General features: G+C 37.6%; 2 annotated features.

Moving 5' to 3' along the window:
* Window positions 13,853-14,753: an enhancer, noted in NCBI's record as "OCT4-NANOG hESC enhancer chrX:58551928-58552828 (GRCh37/hg19 assembly coordinates)". NCBI's record gives its function as "activates a minimal SCP1, AML or CMV promoter by ChIP-STARR-seq in primed H9 embryonic stem cells {active_cell/tissue: H9 hESC(primed)}" and the evidence as "EXISTENCE:reporter gene assay evidence [ECO:0000049][PMID:30033119]".
* Window positions 17,752-18,253: an enhancer, noted in NCBI's record as "OCT4 hESC enhancer chrX:58555827-58556328 (GRCh37/hg19 assembly coordinates)". NCBI's record gives its function as "activates a minimal SCP1, AML or CMV promoter by ChIP-STARR-seq in naive H9 embryonic stem cells {active_cell/tissue: H9 hESC(naive)}" and the evidence as "EXISTENCE:reporter gene assay evidence [ECO:0000049][PMID:30033119]".

An 18,711-nucleotide genomic window follows, 5' to 3' on the forward strand; every position in this document is an offset into this window, starting at 1 on the left:
TATAGATAAGTGCTTAAAGGAGCTGATGGAGCTGAAAGCCAAGGCTCAAGAACTACGTGAAGAATGCAGAAACCCCAGGAGCTGATATGATCAAGTGGAAGAAAGGGTATCAGTGATGGAAGATGAAATGAATGAAATGAAGCGAGTGGGGAAGTTTAGAGAAAAAAGAATAAAAAGAAATGAACAAAGCCTCCAAGAAATATGGGACTATGGGAAAAGACCAAATCTACGTCTGATTGGTGTACCTGAAAGTGACGGGAAGAATGGAACCAAGTTGGAAAACACTCTGCAGGATATTATCCAGGAGAACTTCCCCAATCTAGCAAGGCAGGCCAACATTCAGATTCAGGAAATACAGAGAATGCCACAAAGATACTCCTTGAGAAGAGCAACTCCAAGACACATAATTGTCAGATTCCTCAAAGTGGAAATGAGGGAAAAAATATTAAGGACAGTCAGAGAGAAAGGTCGGGTTACCCACAAAGGGAAGCCCATCAGACTAACAGCGGATCTCTTGGCAGAAACTCTAAAAGCCAGAAGAGAGTGAGGGCCAATATTCAACATTCTTAAGGAAAAGAATTTTCAACCGAGAATTTCATATCCAGCCAAACTAAGCTTCATAAGTGAAAGAGAAATAAAATACTTTACAGACAAGCAAATGCTGAGAGATTTCGTCACCACCAGGCCTGCCCTACAAGAGCTCCTGAAGGAAGCACTAAACATGGAAAGGAACAACCAGTACCAGCCACTGCAAAATCATGCCAAATTGTATAGACCATCGAGGCTAGGAAGAAACTGCATTAACTAATGAGCAAAATAACCAGCTAACATCATAATGACAGGATCAAATTCACACCTAACAGTATGAACTTTAAATGTAAATGGACTAAATGCTCCAATTAAAAGACACAGACTGGCAAACTGGGTAAAGAGTCGAGACCCATCAGTGTGCTGTATTCAGGAAATCCATCTCACATGCAGAGACACACATAGGATCAAAATAAAAGGATGGAAGAAGATCTACCAAGCAAATGGAAAACAAAAAGGCAGGGGTTGCAATCCTAGTCTCTGATAAAACAGACTTTAAACCAACAAAGATCAAAAGAGACAAAGAAGGCCATTACATAATGGTCAAGGGATCAATTCAACAAGAAGAGCTAACTATTCTAAATATACATGCACCCAATACAGGAGCACCCAGATTCATAAAGCAAGTCCTGAACGACCTACAAAGAGACTTAGACTCCCACACAATAATAGTGGGAGACTATAACACCCCACTGTCAACATTAGACAGATCTACAAGACAGAAAGTTAACAAGGATATCCAGGAATTGAACTCAGCTCTGCACCAAGCGGACCTACTAGACATATACAGAACTCTCCACCCCAAATCCACAGAATATACATTTTTTTCAGCACCACACCACACCTACTCCAAAATTGACCCCATAGTTGGAAGTAAAGCTCTCCTCAACAATAGTAAAAGAACAGAATTTATAACAAACTGTCTCTCAAACCAATTTTGGAACAGGTGTGTTGTGGTGCTGAAAAAAATGTATGTTCTGTTGATTTGGGTTGGAGAGTTCTGTAGATGTCTATTAGGTCCACTTGGTGCAGAGCTGAGTTCAATTCCTGGGTATCCTTGTTGACTTTCTGTCTCGTTGATCTGTCTAATGTTGAGAGTGGGGCGTTAAAGTCTCCCATTATTAATGTGTGGGAGTCTAAGTCTCTTTGTAAGTCACTCAGGACTTGCTTTATGAATCAGAAATTTTAACAAACTATCTCTCAGACCACAGTGCAACCAAACTAGAACTCAGGATTAAGAAACTCACTCAAAACCACTCCACTACATGGAAACTGAACAACCTGTTCCTGAACGACTACTGGGTAGATAACGAAATGAAGGCAGAAATAAAGATGTTCTTTGAAACCAATGAGAACAAAGACACAACATACCAGAATCTCTGGAACACATTCAAAGCAGTGTGTAGAGCGAAATTTATAGCACTAAATGACCACAAGGGAAAGGAGGAAAGATCCAAAATTGACACCCTAACATCACAATTAAAAGAACTAGAAAAGCAAGAGCAAGCACATTCAAAAGCTAGCAGAAGACAAGAAATAACTAAAATCAGAGCAGAACTGAAGGAAATAGAGACACAAAAAACCCTTCAAAAAACGAATGAATCCAGGAGCTGGTTTTTTGAAAGGATCAACAAAATTGATAGACCGCTAGCAAGACTAATAAAGAAAAAAAGAGAAAAGAATCAAATAGACGCAATAAAAAATGAAAAAGGGGATATCACCACCGATCCCACAGAAATAAAAACTACCATCAGAGAATACTATGAACACCTCTATGGAAATAAACTAGAAAATCTAGAAGAAATGAATAAATTCCTCGACACATACACCCTCTGAAGACTAAACCAGGAAGAAGTTGAATCTCTGAATAGACCAATAACAGGAGCTGAAATTGTGGCAATAATCAATAGCTTACCAACCAAAAAGAGTCCAGGACCAGATGGATTCACAGCCAAATTCTACCAGAGGTACAAGGAGGAACTGGTACCATTCCTTCTGAAACTATTCCAATCAATAGAAAAAGAGTGAATCTTCCCTAACTCATTTTATGAGGCCAGCATCATCCTGATACCAAAGCCGGGCAGAGACACAACCAAAAAGAGCATTTTAGACCAATATCCTTGATGAACATTGATGCAAAATTCCTCAATAAAATACTGGCAAACCAAATCCAGCAGCACATCAAAAAGCTTATCCACCATGATCAAGTGGGCTGCATCCCTGGGATGCAAGGCTGGTTCAATATACGCAAATCAATAAATGTAATCCAACATGTAAACAGAACCAAAGACAAAAACCACATGATTATCTCAATAGATGCAGAAAAGGCCTTTGACAAAATTCAAAAACCCTTCATGCTAAAAACTCTCAATAAATTAGGTATTGATGGGACAAATCTCAAAATAATAAGAGCTATCTATGACAAACCCACAGCCAATACCATACTGAATGGGCAAAAACTGGAAGCATTCCCTTTGAAAACTGGCACAAGACAGGGATGCCCTCTCTCACCACTCCTATTCAACATAGTGTTGGAAGTTCTGGGAAGGGAAATTAGGCAGGAGAAGGAAATAAAGGGTATTCAATTAGGAAAAGAGGAAGTCAAATTGTCCCTGTTTGCAAATGACATGATTGTATATCTAGAAAACCCCATTGTCTCAGCCCAAAATCTCCTTAAGCTGATAAGCAACTTCAGCAAAGTCTCAGGATACAAAATCAATGTACAAAAATCACAAGCATTCTTATACACCAACAACAGACAAACAGAGAGCCAAATCATGAGTGAACTCCCATTCAGAATTGCTTCAAAGAGAATAAAATACCTAGGAATCCACCTTACAAGGGACTTGAAGGACCTCTTCAAGGAGAACTACAAACTACTGGTCAATGAAATAAAAGAGCATACAAACAAATGGAAGAACATTCCATGCTTATGGGTAGGAAGAATCAATATAATGAAAACGGCCATAGTGCCCAAGGTAATTTATAGATTCAATGCCATCTCCATCAAGCTACCAATGACTTTCTTCACAGAATTGGAAAAACGACTTTAAAGTTTGTATGGAACCAAAAAAGAGCCCACATTGCCAAGTCAATCCTAAGCTAAAAGAACAAAGCTGGAGGCATCACGCTACCTGACTTCAAACTGTACTACAAGGCTACAGTAACCAAAACGGCATGGTACTGGTATCAAAACAGAGATATAGATCAATGGAACAGAACAGAGCCCTCAGAAATAATGCCGCATATACACAACTATCTGATCTTTGACAAACCTGAGAAAAACAAGCAATGGGGAAAGGATTCCCTATTTAATAAATGGTGCTGGGAAAACTGGCTAGCCATATGTAGAAAGCTGAAACTGGATTCCTTCCTTACACCTTATACAAAAATCAATTCAAGATGGATTAAAGACTTACATGTTAGACCTAAAACCATAAAAACCCTAGAAGAAAACCTAGGCATTACCATTCAGGACATAGGCACGGTAAGGACTTCATGTGTAAAACACCAAAAGCAATGGCAACAAAAGCCAAAATTGACAAATGGGATCTAATTAAACTAAAGAGCTTCTGCACAGCAAAAGAAACTACCATCAGAGTGAACAGGCAACCCACAAAGTGGGAGAAAATTTTCGCAACCTACTCATCTGACAAAGAGCTAATATCCAGAATCTATAATGAACACAAACAAATTTACAAGAAAAATAAACAACCCCATCAACAAGTGGGCGAAGGACATGAACAGACACTTCTCAAAAGAAGACATTTATGCAGCCAAAAAACACATGAGAAAATGCTCACCATCACTGGCCATCAGAGAAATGCAAATCAAAACCACAATGAGATATCAACTCACACCAGTTAGAATGGCAATCATTAAAAAGTCAGGAAACAACAGGTGCTGGAGAGGATGTGGAGAAATAGGAACACTTTTACACTGTTGGTGGGACTGGAAACTAGTTCAACCATTATGGAAGTCAGTGTGGCGATTCCTCAGGGATCTAGAACTAGAAATACCATTTGACCCAGCCATCCCATTTCTGGGTACATACCCAAAGGACTATAAATCATGCTGCTATAAAGACACATGCACACGTCTGTTTATTGTGGCACTATTCACAATAGCAAAGACTGGGAACCAACCCAATTGTCCAACAATGATGGACTGGATTAAGAAAATGTGGCACATATACACCATGGAATACTATGCAGCCATAAAAAATGATGAGTTCATGTCCTTTGTAGGGACATGGATGAAAATGGAAATCATCATTCTCAGTAAACTATTGCAAGAACAAAAAAAGGAACACCGCATATTCTCACTCATAGGTGGGAATTGAACAATGAGAACACATGGACACAGGAAGGGGAACATCACAATCTGGGGACTGTGGCGGGGTGGGGGGAGGAGGGAGGTATAGCTTTAGGAGATATACCTAATGCTAAATGACGAGTTAATGGGTGCAGCACACCAGCATGGCACATGTATACATATGTAACTAACCCGCACGTTGTGCACATGTACCCTAAAACTAAAAGTATAATAATAATAAAATTTAAAAAATAAAGAAAAAGAAAAGCAGGAAAGCATAGACAGGTGAGCACTAGTTTTGTGCCTTCAGTGTCCCTTGAGACATAAGCAGGCTCAGAAATAGAGGCCCAGGTCTGAAAATCTGTAAGAAAGGAGGGGCCAAGAGGCCTTCGAGTCCGGCAGAGCTTGGAAAAAATCTCATATGGCCACAGGTGAAAAACTGTCCCTAACCACTGCAGAAAAGGAGGGATCCTGACACATACCGGGGTCTTGAGGTGAAATCTTGCTAGGGAAACATACCAGGAGGAAGACGCACCAGGAGTAGCAAGGCACCACCATGCTGATACCAAGGCCCAAAGCAGTGCATTCCTTTTATGGCATTAACTTGGCACAGCCCTAGCATATCATTCTGGCAAAATAAGAAGTAAATCCTCTCTGGAGTGTGAAAATTATTCCAGAGCCCAAAATTGCTTCTAAAATGCTGTAGGGCAAGTATCAATTTAAATCTATGTAGATATTAAGTGTGTTAAACATACTGTGATTTCAATCAACAAAAACCAAACATACAAAATCGAGAGAAAAAAACAGCCAACAAAAAGAGACCAAAATAAGTTGCGTATATTGGGCCACTAGTATATGATATGCTGAATGCATTCCATGACAAGGTCAAGAATTTTAGCAGAGAACCAGAAACTATAAAAAGAAATCAAACAAATGTCAAATATAAAGTAACTCAAACTGATCACTCAATGGATGAATGTAACGGTAAATTTGACAGTTAAATTTCCTCTTGCAAGTGTTCCGCTGGAGGTTTGGTCAGGCCATGAGGCAATTTGTAATAAGTAAAAAGAATAAAATCATTTCTAGAGAAAACAAAAAACAAAAAAAACCCACTCTTTTTGTAGAATCTGCAAGTGGATATTTGAAGCACTTTGAGGCCTGTTGTGGAAAGGAAATATCTTCACATAAAAATTACACAGAAGCATTCTGAGAAACTTCTTTGTGATGTGTGCATTCATCTCACAAAGCTGAAGCTCGCTTTTGTTTGAGCAGTTTTGAAACACTCTTCGAAAAACCTGCAAGTGGATATTTGAAGCGCTTTGAGGCTTATTGTGGAAAAGGAAATATCTTCACATAAAAACTGCAAAGAAGCATTCTGAGAAACTTATTTGTGATGTGTGCATTCTTCTCACATAGTTGAAACTTTCTTTTGTTTGAGCAGTTTTGAAGCACTCTTCTTGTAGAATCTGCAATTGGATATTTAGAGCGCTTTGGGTCCTATGGTTGAAACGGAAATATCTTCACAAAAAAACTACACAGAAGCATTCTGACAAACACCTTTGCGATGTGTACATTCATCTCACAGAGTTGAAACTTTCTTTTGATTGAGCAGTTTTGAAACACTTTTTTGTAGAATCTGCAAGTGGATATTTAGACGAATTGGGGCTTATTGTGGAAAAAGAAATATCTTCACATAAAAACTACACAGAAGCATTCTGAGAAATTGCTTGTGATGTTTGCATTCATCTCACAGTGTAGAACGTTTCTTTGGATTAGCAGATTTGAAACCCTCTTTTTGTACAGTTTGCAACTGGACATTTGTAGTGCTTTGAGGCCTATTGTGGAAAAGGAAATATCTTCACATAAAAACTACACAGAAGCATTCTGAGAAACTTCTTTGTGATGTGTGCATTCATCTCACAGAGTTGTACATTTCTTTTGATTTAGCAGTTTGGAAACACTCCTTTTGTAGAATCTGGAAGTGGATATTTGAAGTGCTTTGAGGCCTATTGTGGAAAAGAGTATATCTTCACATAAAAACTACACAAAAGCATTCTCAGAAACTTCTTTGTGATGTGTGCATCCATCTCATAGAGTTGAACCTATCTTTTGATTGAGCAGTTTTTAAACTCTCTTTTTGTAGAATCTGCAAGTGGATATTTGGAGACCATTATGGCCTAAGGTGGAAAAGGAAATATCTTCACATAAAATCTACACAGAAGCATTCTGAGAAATTTCTTTGTGATGTGTGCATTCAACTCACAGAGTTGAATCTACCTTTTGATTGAGCAGTTTTGAATCTCTCTTTTTGGTGAATCTGGAATTGGATATTTGGAGACCTTTGTGACCAATTTTGGAAAAAGAAATATCTTCACATAAAAAACACACAGAAGCATTCTGAGAAATTTCTTTGTGATGTGTGCATTCATCTCACAGAACTGAAACTTTCTTTAGATTGAGCAGTTTTGAAACACTATTTTTATAGAGTCTACAAGTGGATATTTGGAGCACTTTGGGGCCTATGATGGAAAAGGAAATATCTTCACATAAAAACTACGCAGAAGCATTCTGAGGAACTTCTTTGTGATATGTGTATTCAACTCATAGAATTGAAACTATCTTTTGATTGAGCAGTTTTGAATCCCTCGTTTTGTAGTATCTGCAAGGGGATATTTGGAGTCATTTGCGGCCTATTTTGGGAAAGGATGTATCTTCTCATAAAAACTACCCAGAAACATTCTGAGAAACTTCTTTGTGATGTGTGCATTCAACTCACAGAGTTGAATCTATCTTTTGATTCAGCACTTTTGAATCTCTCTTTTCGTCCAATCTGGAATTGGATATTTGGAGACCTTTGCGATCAATTTTGGAAAAAGAAATATCTTCACATAAAAACTACACAGAAGCATTCTGAGAAATTTCTTTGTGATGTGTGCATTCATCTCACAGAATTGAAACATTCTGCAGACTGAGCAGTTTTGAAACACTCTTTTTATAGGGTCTGCAAGTGGATATTTGGAGTGATTTGAGGGCAATTGTGGAAAAGGAAATATCTTCACATAAAAACTACACAGAAGCATTCTGATAAACTTTTCTGCGATGTGTGCATTCACCTCACAGATTTGAAACTTTGTTTTGATAGAGCAGTTTTGAAACACTCTTTTTGTAGAATCTGCAAGTGGATATTTGGAGCGCTTTAGGGCCTATGATGAGAAAGGAAATATCTTCACATAAAAACTACACAGAAGCATTCTGAGAAACATCTTTGTGTTGTATGTATTCAACTCATAGAACTGAACCTACCTTTTGATTGAGCAGTTTTGAATCTCTCGTTTGTAGAATCTGCAAGTGGATATTTGGAGCCCTTTGTGGCCTATTTTGGAACAGGAAATATCTTCCATAAAAACTACACAGAAGCATTCTGAGAAACTTCTTTGTGATGTGTGCATTCATCTCACATAGTTGAACCTTTCTTTTGTTTGAGCAGTTTTGAAACACTCTTTTTATATAATCTGCAAGAGTCTGTTTGGAGCGCTTTCTGGCCTACTGTGGAAAAGGAAATATCTTCACATAAAAACTACACAGAAGTATTCTGAGAAACTTCTTTGTGATGTGTGTATTCAACTCAAAGAGTTGAAACTTTCTTTTGATTGAGCAGATTTGAAACACGGTTTTTGTAGCATTGGTAGGTGGATATTTGGAGCGCTTTGGGGCCTATTGTGGAAAAGGAAATATCTTCACATAAAAACTACACAGAAGCATTCCGAGAAACCTCTTTGCGATGTGTGCATTCATCTCACAGAGTTGAAGCTTCCTTTTGATTGAGCAATTTTTAAACACTTTTTTATGGAATTTGCAAGTGGATATTTGGAGGGCTCTGAAGACTATTGTGGAAAAGCTAATATCTTCACATAAAAACAACACAGCCGCTCCCTGAGAAACCTTTTTTGATATGTCCATTCAACTCACAGAGTTGAACCTATCTTTGATAGAGCAGTTTTGAAACACTCTTTTTGTAGAATCTGCAAGTGGACATTTGTAACACTTTGAGGCCGATGATGAAAAAGGAAATATCTTCACATAAAAATTAGACAGAAGCATTCTCAGAAATCACATTGTGATGTGTGGATTCAACTCACAGAGTTGAACATTTGTTTTGATAGAGCAGTTTTGAAACACTCTTTTTGTAAAATCTGCAATTGGGCCTTTGGAGCGCTTTGAGGCCTATGGTGAAAAAGCAATTATCTTCATACAAAAATAACACAAAAGCATTCTCAGGAACTTCTTTGTTATGTATGCATTCAACTCAGAGAGTTGAACCTTTCTTTTGATAGAGCAGTTTTGAAACACTCTTTTTAGTGGAATCTGAAAGTGGACTTTTGGAGCACTTTGAGTCCTATGGTGAAAAAGAAAATATCTTCACATAAAAACTACACAGAAGCATTCTCAGAAACGTCTTTGTGATGTTTTCTTTCAACTAACAGAGTTGAACATTCCTTTTCATAGAGCAGATTTGAAACACTCTTTTTGTACAATTTGCAAGTGGATATTTGGACCGCCTTGAGGCCTTCATAGGAAAAGGTATATCTTCACATAGAAACTAGAGAGAAGCATTCTCAGAAACTTCTTTGTGATGTGTGCATTCAACTCTAAGAGTTGAAAGTTTCTTTTGTTGAAACAGTTTGAAACACTCTTTTTTTAGAATCTACAAGGTGACATTTACAGCGCTTTGAGGCCTATGGTGAAAAAGGAAGTATCTTCACATTAAAACTAGAGAGAAGCATTATCAGAAATTTCTTTGTGATGTGTGCATTCAACTCACAGAGTTGAACATTTCTTTTTATAGAGCAGTTTTGAAACAGTCTTTTTGTAGAATCTGAAAGTGGACATTTGGAGTGCGTTGAGGCCTATGTTGAAAAAGGAAATATCTTCACATAAAAACTACAAAGAAGCATTCTCTGAAACTTCTTTGTGATGTGTGCATTCAACTCACAGGGTTGAACATTCCTTTTCATACAGCTGGTTTTAAACACTGTTTTTGTAGAATTTGCAAGTCGATATTTGGACCACATCGAGGCCTTCATTGGAAATGGTATATCTTCACATAAAAAATATACAGAAGCATTCTCAGCAACTTCTTAGTGATGTGTGCATTCAGCTCTCAGAGATGAACCTTTCCTTTAATAGAGCAGTTTTAAAAAACACTTTTTGTAGAATCTGCAAGTGGACACTTGGAGTGCTTTGATGCCTACAGTGAAAAAGGCTATGTCTTCACATAAAAACTACAAAGCAGCATTCTTAGAAACGTCTTTGTGATGTTTCCTTTCAACACACAGAGTTTAACATTCCTTTTCATAGAGCAGTTTTGAAACACTCTTTTTTTAGAATTCGCAAGAGGATATTTGGACCTCTTTGAGGCCTTCGTTGGAAATGGAATATCTTCACGTAAAAACTAGGCAGAAGCACTCACAGAAACTACTTTGTGATGTGTGCATTCAACTCAGAGAGTTGAACCTTTCTTTTGAGGAGCAGTTTTGAAACATTCTTTTTGTAGAATCTGAAAGTGGATATTTGGAGTGCTTTGAGGCCTATGGTGAAAAAGGAAATATCTTCAAATAAAAACTACACAGAAGCATTCTCAGAAACTTCATTGTGATGTTGGCTTTCAACTCACGGAGTTCAACATTCCTTTTCATGGAACAGTTTTGAAACACTGTATTCGTAGAATCTACAAGTGGACATTTGGGGCTCTTTGAGGCCTATGTTGACAAAGGAACTATCTTGTCATGAAAACTACACAGAATCATTCTCAGAAACTTCTTTGTGATGTGTGCATTCAACTCACAGAGTTGAACGGTACTTTTGATAGAGCTGTTTTGAAACACACTTTTTGTAGAATCTGCAAGTGTGCATTTGGAACACTTTGAGGCCTATGGTGGAAAAGGAAATATCATTAAATAAAAACTACACAAAAGCATTCTCAGAAACTTCTTTGTTATGTGTGCATTCAACTCACAGAGTTGAACCTCTCTTTTGATAGAGCAGTTTTGAAACCCTCTTTTTGTACAACATGCAAGTGGACAGTTGGAGCGCTTAGAGACTTATGGTGAAAAAGGAAATATCTTCACATAAAAACTACACTGAAGCATTCTCAGAAACTTCTTTTTGTTGTTTGCTTTCAAATCACAGAGTTGAATATTCCTTTTCATAGAGCAGTTTTGAAATAATCTTTTTGTAATTTTGCAAGTGGATATTTGGAACGCTTTGAGGCCTTCGTTGGAAAAGGGATATCTTCACAAAAAATAGAAGCATTCTCAGAAACTTCCTTGTGATGTGTGCATTCAACTCACAGAGTTGAACCTTTCTTTTGATAAAGCAGTTTTTAAACACTCTTTTTGTAGATCCTGCAGGTGGACATTTGGGGCCAATAGCGAAAAAGGATATATCTTCACATAAAAACTAGACAGAAGCATTCTCAGAAACTTCTTTGTGATGCGTGCACTCAACTCACAGAGTTGAAAATGTCTTTTGATAGAGCAGTTTTGAAGCACTCTTTTTGTAGATCTGCAAGTGGATATTTGGACGGATTTGAAGCCTTCGTTAGGAAAGGGATAATTTCACAGAAACTAGACAGAAGCATTCTCAGAAACTTCTTTGTGATGTCTGCATTCAACTCACAGGGATGAATATTTCTTTTGATAGAACAGTTTTGAAACACTCCTTTTGTGGAACATGCCACTGGACATTAGGAGCACTTTGAGGCCTATGCTAAAAAAGGAAATATCTTAACATAAAAATTACACAGAAGCAGTCTCAGAAACTTCTTTATGATGTCTGCATTCAACTCACAGAGTTGAACCTCTCTTTTGATAGAGCGGTTTTGAAACCCTCTTTTTGTAGAATCTGTAAATGGATATTTGGAGCGCTTTGAGGCCTAGGGTGAAAAAGGAAATATCTTCATATAAAAACAACACAAAAGCATTCTCAAGAACTTCTTTGTTTTGTATGCATTCAACTCACAGAGTTGAACCTTTCTTTTGATAGAGCAGTTTTGAAACACTCTTTTTTGTGGAATCTGAAAGTGGACTTTTGGAGCACTTTGAGGCCTATGGTGAAAAAGGAAATATCTTCACATAAAAACTACACAGAAGCATTCTCAGAAACGTCTTTTTGATGTTTGTTTTCAACTAACAGAGTTGAACATTCCTTTACATAGAGCATATTTGAAACATTCTTTTTGTAGAATTTGCAAGGGGATATTTGGACCGCCTTGAGGCCTTCGTAGGAAACGGTATATCTTCACATAAAAACTAGACAGAAGCATTCTCAGAAACTTCTTTGTGATGTGTGCATTCAGCTCTAAGAGTTGAACGTTTCTTTTGTTGAAACAGTTTTGAAACATTCTTTTTGTAGAATCTGCAAGGTGACATTTACAGCACTTTGAGGCCTATGGTGAAAAAGGAAATATCTTCACATAAAAACTAGAGAGAAGCATTATCAGAAACTTCTTTGTGATGTGTGCATTCAACTCACAGAGATGAACATTTCTTTTGATAGAGCAGTTTTGAAACACACTTTTTGTAGAATCTGCAAGTTGACATTTGGAGTGCTTTGAGGCCTATGGTAAAAAAGGAAATATCTTCAAATAAAAACTACACAGAAGCATTCTCAGGAACTTCATTGTGATGTTTGCTTTCAACTCATAGAGTTCAGCATTCTTTTTCATGGAGCAGTTTGAAACACTGTATTCGTAGAGTCTACAAGTGGACATTTGGAGCTCTTTGAGGTATATGGTGAAAAAGGAACTATCTTGTCTTAAAAACTACACAGAATCATTCTCAGAAACTTCTTTGTGGTGTGTGCATTCAACTCACCGAGTTCAACGGTTCTTTTGATAGAGCTGTTTTGAAACACACTTTTTGTAGAATCTGCAATTGGGCATTTGGAGCACTTTGAGGCCTACGGTGAAAAAGGAAATATCTTCATATATAAAAAACACAGAAACATTCTCTGGAACTTCTTTGTGATGTGTGCACTCAACTCACAGAGTTGAACCTCTCTTTTGATAGAGCAGTTTTGAAACCCTCTTTTTGTACAATCTGCATCTGGAAGTTTGGAGCGCTTTGAGGCCTACGGTGGAAAAGGAAATATCTTCACATGAAAACTACACAAAAGCATTCTCAGAAACTTCTTTGTTATGTGTGCATTCAACTCACAGAGTTGAACCTCTCTTTTGATAGAGCACCTTGGAAACCCTCTTTTTGTCCAATCTGCAACTGGACATTTGGAGCGCTTTGAGGCTTATGGTGAAAAAGGAAATATCTTCACATAAAAACGACACAGAAGCATTCTCAGAAACTTCTTTTTGTTGTTTGCTTTCCACTCACAGAGTTGAACATTCCTTTTCATAGAGCAGTTTTGAAATAATCTTTTTGTAATTTTGCAAGTGGATATTTGGACCGCTTTGAGGCCTTCATTGGAAAAGGGATATCTTCACAAAAAATAGACAGAAGCGTTCTCAGAAACTTCCTTGTGATGTGTGCATTCAACTCACAGAGTTGAACCTTTCTTTTGATAAAGCAGTTTTTAAACACTCTTTTTGTGGATCCTGCAAGTGGACATTTGGAGCGCTTTGGGGCCTATTGGGAAAAAGGATATATCTTCACATAAAAACTAGACAGAAGCATTCTCAGAAACTTCTTTGTGATATGTGCACTCAACTCACTGAGCTGAAACTGTCTTTTGATAGAGCAGTTTTGAAACACTCTTTTTGTAGAATCTGCAAGTGGATATTTGGATGGATTTGAGGCCTTCGTTAGAAACAGGATAACTTCACAGAAACTAGACAGAAGCATTCTCAGAAACTTCTTTGTGATGTCTGCATTCAACTCACAGGGATGAATATGTCTTTTGATAGAACAGTTTTGAAACACTCCTTTTGTGGAACATGCCACTGGACATTAGGAGCAGTTTGAGGCCTATGCTGAAAAGGAAATGTCTTCACATAAAAACTGCACAGAAGCAGTCTCAGAAACTTCTTTATGATGTCTGCATTCAACTCACAGGGTTGAACCTCTCTTTTGATAGAGCAGTTTTGAAACCCTCTTTTTGTAGAATCTGTAAATGGATATTTGGAGTGTTTTGAGGCCTATGGTGAAAAAGGAAATATCTTCACATAAAAACTAGACAGAAGCATTCTCAGAAACTTCTTTGTGATGTCTGCATTCAACTCACGGGAATGAATATTTCTTTTGATAGAGCAGTTTTGAAACACTCTTTTTGTTGAATCTCCAAGTGCACATTTGGAGAGCTTTGAGGTCTGTGGTGAAAAAGGAAATATCTTCACAACGAAACTACACAGAAGCATTCTCAGAAACTTCACTGCAATGTTTGCTTTCAAATCACAGAGTTGAACATTCCTTTTCATAGAGCAGTTTTGAAACACTCTTTTTGTAGAATTTGTAATTGGATATTTTGACCGCTCTGAGGCCTTCGTTGGAAATGGGATGTCTTCACAAAAACTCTACAGAAGCATTCTCAGAAACTTCTCTCTGATGTGTGCATTCAACTCACAGAGTTGAACATTTCTTTTGATGGAGCAGTTTTGAAACACTCTTTTTGTAGAATCTGCAAGTGGACATTTGTAGCACTTTGAGGCCTATGGTGAAAAAGGAAATACCTTCACATAAAAACTAGACAGGAGCTTTCTCAGAAACCTCTTTGTGATGAGTGCCTTCAACTCACAGAGTGGAACCTTTCTTTTAATAGTGCAGTTTTGTAACACACTTTTTGTAGAATCTGCTAGTGGAAATTTGGACTCCTTTGAGGCCAGTGGTGAAAAAGGAAATATCTTCACCTAAAAACTACGCAGAAACAGTCTCAGAAACTTCTTTGTGATGTGTGCAATCAACTCACAGATTTGAATCATTCTTTTGATAGAGGTGTTTTGAAGCACTCTTTTTGTAGAATCTGCAAGTGAGCATTTGGAGCACTTTGAGGACTACGGTGAAAAGAAATATCTTCATATATAAACAACACAGAAGCATTCTCAGGAACTTCTTTGTGAAGTGTGCATTCAACTCACAGAGTTGAAGCTCTCTTTTGAAAGAGCAGTTTTGAAAGCCTCTTTTTGTAGAATCTGCAACTGGATATTTGAAGCGCTTTGAGGCCTACCGTGCAAGAGGAAATATCTTCACATAAAAACTACACAAAAGCATTCTCATAAACTTCTTTGTGATGTGTGCATTCAACTCACAGAGGTGAACCTCTCTTTTGATAGAGCAGTTCTGAAACTCTCTTTTTGAAGAATCTGCAACTGGACATTTGGAGCACTTTGAGGCCTATGGTGAAAAAGACAATATCTTCACATAAAAACTACACAGAAGCATTCTCTGAAACTACTTTGTGTTGTTTGCTTTCAACTCAGAGTTGAACATTCCTTTTCATAGAGCAGTTTTGAAACACTTTTTTTGTAGAATTTGCAATTGGATGTTTTGACCGCTCTGAGGCCTTCATTGGAAAAGGTATATCTTCACATAAACTAGACAGAAGCATTCACAGAAACTTCTTTGTGATGTTTACTTTCAACCCACAGAGTTGAAGTTTACTTTTCACAGAGCAATTTTGAAATACTCTTTTTGTAGAATTCGCAAGTGGATATTTGGACCACTTTGAGGCCTTCGTTAGAAAAGAGATGTCTTCACAAAAACTGGATAGAAACATTCTCAGCAAGTTCTTTGTGATGTGTGCATTGAACTCACAGAGTTGAACCTTTCTTTCGAAAGAGCAGTTATGAAAAACACTTTTTGTAGAATCTGTAATTGGACTTCTGTAGCGCTTTGAGGCCTATGATGAAAAAGGAAATATCTCCACATAAAAACTAGACAGCAGCATTTTCCGAAACCTCTTTGTGATGTGTGCATTCAACTCACAGAGTTGAATCTTTCTTTTGACAGATCAGTTTAGAAACACTCTTCTTGTAGAATTTGCAAGTGGATATTTGGACTGTTTTGAGGCCTTCGTTGGAAAAGGGATATCTTCACAGAAGCTATACAGAAGCATTCTCAGAAACTTCTTTTTCATGTCTGCATTCAACTCACAGAGTTGAATATTTCTTTTGATTGAGCAGTTTTGAAACACTCTTTTTGTAGAACCTGACACTGGACATTAGGAGCGCTTTGAGGCCTATGGTGAAAAAGGAAATATCTTCACATCAAAACTACACAGAAGCATTCTCAGAAACTTCTTTGTTATGGGGGCATTCAACTCACAGATTTGAACCTCTCTTTTGATAGAGCAGTTTTGAAACCCTGTTTTTGGAGGATCTGCAAATGAATATTTGGAGCGCTTTGAGGCCTATGGTGAAAAAGGAAATATCTACACATAAAAACTACACAGAAGCATTCTCAGAAACTTCTTTCTGTTGTTTGCTTTCAACTCACAGAGTTGAACATTCCTTTTCTTAGAGCAGTTTTGTAATACTCTTATTGCAGAATTTGCAAGTGGATATTTGGACCACTTTGAGGCCTTCCTTGGAAACGGGATATCGTCACAGAAACTACACAGAAGCATCTCAGAATCCACTTTGTGATGTGTGGATTCAACTCATAGGGTTGAACATTTCTTTTGATAGAGCAGTTTTGAAAAACTCTTTATGCAGAATCTGCAAGTGGACATTGGGAGCGCTTTGAGGCCTGCGGTGAAAAAGGAAATATCTTCACAAAGAAACTACACAGAAGCATTCTCAGAAACTCCTTTGTGATGTTTGCTTTCCATTCACAGAGTTGAACATTCCTTTTAATAGAGCAGTTTTGAAACACTCTTTTTGTAGAATTTGTAAGTGGATCTTTGGACTGCTTTGAGGCCTTCATTGGAAACGGGATATCTTCAAAACACTAGACGGGTAAATTCTCAGGAACTTCTTTGTGATGTGTACATTCAACTCACAGAGTTGAACCTTTCTTTTGATAGAGCAGCTTTGAAACACTCTTTTTGTAGAATCTGCAAGTGGGCATTTGGAGCGCTTTGAGGCCTATGGTGAAAAAGGAAATATTTTCACATAAAAACACACAAAGCATTCTCAGGAACTACTTTGTGATGTATGCATTCAACACACAGAGTTGAACCTCTCTTTTGATAGAGCACCTTGGAAACCCTCTTTTTGTAGAATCTGTAAATGGATATTTGGAGAGCTTTGAGGCTAAAGGTGAAAGAGGAACTATCTTCACATAAAACTACACTGATGCATTCTTAGAAACTTCTTTGTGTTGTTTGCTTTCAACTCACAGCGTTGAACATTCCTTTTCATAGTGCCGTTTTGAAACACTCTTTTTGTAGAATTTGCAAGTGGATATTTGGACCGATTTGAAGCCTTCATTGGAAAAGGGATATCTTCACAAAAACTAAACAGGAGCAATCTCAGAAACTTCTTTGTGATGTGTGCATTCAACCCACAATGTTGAACTTTTCTTTTGATAAAGCAATTTTGAAACACTCTTTTTGTAGATTCTGCAAAGTGACATTTGGAGCACTTTGAGGCCCATGGTGAAAAAGGAAAAATCTTCACATAAAAACTACACAGAAGCATTCTCAGAAACATCTTTTTGATGCGTGCGTTCAACTCACAGAGTTGAACCTCTCTTTTGATAGAGCAGTTTGGAAACCCTCTTTTTGTAGAATCTGAAAGTGGACATTTGGAGAGCTTTGAGGCCTATGATGAAAAAGCAAGCATCTTCACGAAAAATTACACAGAAACACTCTCAGAAACTACTTTGTGTTGTTTTCTTTCAACTCTCAGAGTTGAACATTCCTTTTCATAGAGCAGTTTTGAAACACTTTTTGTAGAATTTGCAAGTGGATATTTGGATCACTTTGAGGCCTTCGTTGGAAATGGTATATCTTCACAGAAACAAGACAGAAGCATTCTCAGGAATTTTTTTGTGATGTATGCATTCAACTCATATAGTTGAATCTCTCCTTTGATAGAGCAGTTTTGAAACCCTCCTTTTGTAGAATCTGCAACTGCACATTTGGAGCGCTTTGAGGGCTAAGGTGTAAAAGGAAATATCTTCACATAAAAACTACACAGTATTCTCAGAAACTTCTTTGAGTTGTTTGCATTCAACTCACAGAGTTGAACATTCCTTTTCATAGAGCAGTTTTGAAATGCTCTTTTTGTAGAATTTGCAAGTGGATGTTTGGACCACTTTGAGGCCTTCGTTGGAAACGGTACATCTTCACAGAAACTAAAGAGAAGCATTCTCCGAAATTCCTTTGTGATGTCTGCATTGAACTCACAGAGTTGAAACTTTCTTTTCATAGAGCAGTTTTGAAACACTCTTTTGTAGAACCTGCAAGTGGACATTTGGAGCTCTTTGCAGCCTATGGTGAAATAGGAAATATCTTCACAACGAAGTTACACAGAAGCATTCTCAGAAACTTCTTTGTGATGTTTGCTTTCAACTCACAGATTTGAACATTCCTTTTCATAGAGCAGATTTGAAACACTCTTTTTGTAGAATTTGCAAGTGGATATTTGGAAGGCTTTGAGGCCTTCGTTGGAAAAGGGACATCTTCACAAAAACTGGACAGAAGCATTCTCAGAAACTTCTTTCTGATGTGTGCATTCAACTCACAGAGTTGAACCTTTCTTTTGAAAGAGCAGTTTTGAAACACTCTTTTTGTAGAATCTGCAGGTGGACATTTGTAGCAGTTTGAGGCCTATGGTGAAAAAGGCAATATCTTCACATGAAAACTAGCCAGAAGCATTCTAAGAAACCTCTTTGTGATGTGTGCCTTCAACTCACAGAG

This window comes from Homo sapiens, chromosome X, assembly GCF_000001405.40.
Source record: "Homo sapiens chromosome X, GRCh38.p14 Primary Assembly".
In the NCBI taxonomy this organism is placed as follows: domain Eukaryota; kingdom Metazoa; phylum Chordata; class Mammalia; order Primates; family Hominidae; genus Homo; species Homo sapiens.